The sequence below is a fragment of the Homo sapiens genome, chromosome 3 (assembly GCF_000001405.40).
Source record: "Homo sapiens chromosome 3, GRCh38.p14 Primary Assembly".
In the NCBI taxonomy this organism is placed as follows: Eukaryota; Metazoa; Chordata; class Mammalia; order Primates; family Hominidae; genus Homo; species Homo sapiens.
Genome location: NC_000003.12, coordinates 137,470,579 through 137,475,035, shown reverse-complemented (window position 1 = coordinate 137,475,035; position 4,457 = coordinate 137,470,579). Strand labels below are relative to the sequence as shown.

The following is a 4,457-nucleotide window of genomic DNA, read 5'->3' as shown; positions in this document are numbered from 1 at the left end:
ACAGGGCCACTGAGAGCCTTGTAGAGAAGTTTCAGAAGTTCTGTCCAAACTCTGGGTGCAGTGTTCTAAGATGAATACAACCTAGGTGGAAATTTAGAGATCTACATTTTTCATATTATAGCCATACCACTCCAAAGCTTCTGGGAGATTTAAGCAGATGACAATTTTCCATCAGAAGGCTTACATTTTGCAGATGCTGCCTCAGAGAAAAAAAGAAGAGGTATAAAGTAAGACTTCTTGGGTTACTTTTTATTATGAAATAATTTTAGACTTACAGAGAAGCTGCAAAAACAGTTCAGAGAGTTTATATGCTTCATCCAGCTTCCCCTAACAATTTATGTAACAATTATATATAACCATAACACAATTATTAAAACTAGGAAATTAACCTGGTACAACACTGTTAACTAAACTACAGGCCTTATTTGAAGGAAATTTCTCTTTAGGCAGATTTTAGCTTATCTTTAATCAGTGTTAAAATTTAGCAACACAGTAGGTTCTATGGCATCTATTGCTGCATAATAAATGTCCAGAAATGTAGTTGCTTAAAACAAATATTTTATTATTGCAGCCATGATTCTGCAGGTAAGAAATTTGGACAAGTTAAAATGGGAAATGCTCATCTCTGCTCCATGATTTCTGGAGTCTCAGCTAGGAGGACTCAAGGGGCCAGAGGTTGCAACTAGAGACTAGCCATAGAAGAATCTCCCTATTTCCACACCACCTTTCCACATGGCTAGCTTAAGCTTTCTCACATTATAGTAGCATTGGGGCAGTTGAGCATCTTTCATGGTGGCTCAGGGCTCCATGAGAAAGGAAGCCAAAACTGACAGTCCTTTTAAAAGTTGGGCCTGGGACTGGCAGTGCATCACTTTCACCCTGTTCTATGGGTTGAAGCAGACACAGGCAAGCCCAGATTTGAGGGGTGTGCACCAAAGGTCTCTTTCACTCTTTATTGGAGCAGTGTCACAGAACTTGCTGCCAATTTCATTTTGCTGTAGGTAAAAATTGTATCAGCTAATTTCGTGTCTTGGAGAGGGACACATTACATTAAAGCAGATTTCTTTTGTTCTGATAAGAGTCACTTAGGAAGCCTTCCTCTCTTACTTTGGTGGAAAATATAAGAAGACCTTTCTTCCTCCACATAGTTTGGCAAAATCTGTCCAGAGCTCTGAAGGAAGTCCAGGCAAATCCATATGAGGAACCCAAGGGATTTCTGGGAAGTAAGGTTCACAGTTAAGGTATACTGTGGGGATGGATGACAGTGATTCTGGCCAACGTCTATGGACAGAAAATAACACCAAAGTTCCTAGAGAGGAACTTAGTGTGAAGAAGGGGCATCTGGTCTAGTGATCCAGGTCACATATGAGCCTACAGGTTGAGGGGAAAGGGCTGCTGTGACAGCTGGGCTATGACCCAGCCATCCCAGCTAACAACTTTGCTCTAAAAGTGAAGCTTAGCCAAGTATATGTGACATGGAGAGCTCACCACCCTGGCCTGTCTGGTATCTGTACCTGTAAAAGCCTCAGGGTAGCAGAGGACAAGGATCCACCAGTGCGGCCCTTTTACCTGGTAATACAGTGTGGCAGAGATGAAGCAATAGGTGGACTACTGAATTCCTCTCTGTCTGGAAATTAGAAGTAAGACTTACTCTTCAGGGTTTTTGGATAATTCTGGGGAAGGGACAATGGTCTTAGGAAAGAGATACTGCACCTCCTGCTTATAAGAGCCCAACAATATGTACATAAATAACTGGAAAATCTGGAAGCATATGGTCTTTTTTCTATTCTTGAGAAAGTGGAGTAAAGCAGGTCAATCAATTATAACAAGGGTCAATAAACTTTTTCTTTTAAGGACTGGATAGTAAATATTTTGAGCTTGCTGGTCACATGGTTTCTATCACAACTACTCAACTGTGCTGCTCTGGTATGAAAGCAGCCAGAGAAAATATGCAAACAAGTGAGTGTTCAAAACATTTTATTTATAGACTCTGAAACATGAATTTCATAAAATTTTCATGTCACAAAATATTTTTCATTTGATTTTGTCCAAACAATTTAAACATCTAAAAACCACCCATAGCTCAAAAAACATACAAAAATAAGGAATTGACCAGCTTTGGCCTGTAGGTCATAGTTTGCCCAACCCCTGAGTTCCCCCTAGGAGGTCTCAAAGGGCAAGGGGCTGGAACTAGGGACTGGCCATGTAAGACTCTATTTTTGACCACATTTCCACGTGGCTAGCTTAAGCTTCTTAGCAGTGCAGTGGCATTGGGGGCAGTTGAGCTTCTTTCATGTTGGCTCAGGGCTCCAGGAGGAAGGAAGCAAAAACTGACAGTCCTTTTAAAAGTTGGGCCTAGGACTGAAAGTGCATCACTTCCACCCTGTTCTATGGGCTGAAGCAGACACAGGCAAGCCCAGATTCAAGAGGCCTGCACAAGGGTCTCCTCTTGATTGGAGCAGTGTCAAAGAACTTGCTGCGAATTTTATTTTAATTTAATAAGTTGTTAGACAATACATTCTTTTTAATTTTAATTTTAATTTTTACTTTATTTATTTATTTATTTGAGATGGGAGTCTTGCTCTTGTCACCTAGGCTGGAGTGCAATGGTGCAATCTCAGCTCACTGCAACCTCTGCCTCCAGGTTCAAGTGATTCTCCTGCCTCAGCCTCCCGAGTAGCTGGGATTAAAGGTGCCCACCATCACCTTTGGCTAATTGTTTTTGTATATTTTTAGTAGAGACAGGGTTTCACCATGGTGGCCAGGCTGGTTTCCAACTCCTGACCTCAGGTGATCTGCCCGCTTCAGCCTCCCAAAGTGTTGGGATTACAGGCGTGAGCCACTGCACCCAGCCAATAATATATTATTCTCTCATTCAAGAAATCTAAAGGTAGATAAGTCCTGAATTGGTTAATTCAGAAGCATAAGGATTCAGGCTCTAAGTCACTTAGTGCTGTCATCACTACTGGGGTCATGAGGTCAAGGGCCAAGAAGTTTGCAGTAGCTGCAAGCATCACTGCCTTACCAGAGGCTCTGAAACTTCAATGTGTATCAGAATAACCTAGAAGACTTGTTAAAACGCAGTAGTTGGTTCCACCTGCAGAGCTCATGACTGAGTAGGTCTGGTGGGGGGTGAGGGTTAACTGAGGATTTAGTTTTTTCCAGTTATCGCGGCTAAGATTTATCACAGGAAGAGGATGTAAAGCAAAAAAGGAAAAGGCACATGGAGCAAAGCCTAGAGAAAACCAGGCATAAGCTTCCAAGAGTTCTTTCCCAGTGGCGTCACACAGGATGCATTTAATTTCTCCAGCAATCAGCTGTGACAACACATGTAAAATGTTATCTACTAGGGAAGCTCATTAGAGACTCAGTGACCAAGATTTTCACTAGGGGCTAGTCACATAGGCATCCTCTGCCTAGCATATACCAAAATGTCAGACTCCCAGAAGGAAAGTAGGTGTTCAGCATAAATGGCATTGTTTGTACATTTTAGGCACAGTGGGTCGCTCTGATTAGAGGGTGAAATCTAGATACCAAACAGTGCTAACTTCTCAAGTAGGGCCTTCTAAGGAAATTAGTCTCAGGCCTGCTATGTTAACTTTTGAGAATTTGCATTTTTAGCAAGTACCCAAGTGGTTCTCAAAGTGGGGACCACGCTTTGAGAAGGATTGGTTTAACATAAACTGCCAAGCAGGAAGCAGGCAAGTGTGGGACAGGGGATTTTTCACTGTGGGCTTTCACTTTTTATAGGGGAGGGAAATCCTTCTTGAAATCCCCTAGTTTTCTCTTTATGTTTCTCTTTATGTTTCTTTGTCTAGAACACGTTCACATGCCCGCCTGAAAGCTGACGATTGGCTTAAACAATAACAATTCATCTCCTGAAGCTGGACTAATGCCAGTCCAACCAAAGTTAGGTTTATGTCACAGCATCCATAGATAGGGCTTCTATTTCCAGAGCTTGGCCAAGTAAGTCCTCTCTCTTCCACCGCACAACCTGTGAGGTAAACAAAAGCAGGGATCTTTCTGTTGAGAGCCCTTTCCAGTGTCAGTTGGTGATCTTTTGAGATGTGGCAAAAGCATTCTTCCCCTAATTCATTGCTCCATGGAGTCAGCCAACCTTGCTCTACTACTTAGGGTGGAAGGTGAGATCATATATGAACCGTATGAGCAATTTGATCAGCCTTTGCTTAATACTTTGTCTAATAGGATCTGATTTAATGATAGAGCTCTTTAGGCTTTATCATTCTCCAAAAAGCTTTCTGTGAACACATAGGTGCGTTTAAGTATTTGATCTCTCCAAATACTAAAACTGGGATGAGTCCAGTTCAAGAACCTTAGATTCCAAATTAAGAGAGTAATCAAAAATAATTAATCAAGAATTATCTCATCTTGTTATTTATCTTTCTTCAACAGGTTTCAAGTGCTTCACTAACATTTTTATTAATACTTTTCAAATC

At 41.4% G+C, this 4,457-nt stretch overlaps 1 annotated feature.

Annotated features, from left to right (window-relative positions):
• Positions 3,992 to 4,051: an enhancer, noted in NCBI's record as "active region_20598". NCBI's record gives its function as "activates an Ori minimal core promoter by ATAC-STARR-seq in GM12878 lymphoblastoid cells {active_cell/tissue: GM12878}" and the evidence as "EXISTENCE:reporter gene assay evidence [ECO:0000049][PMID:35858748]".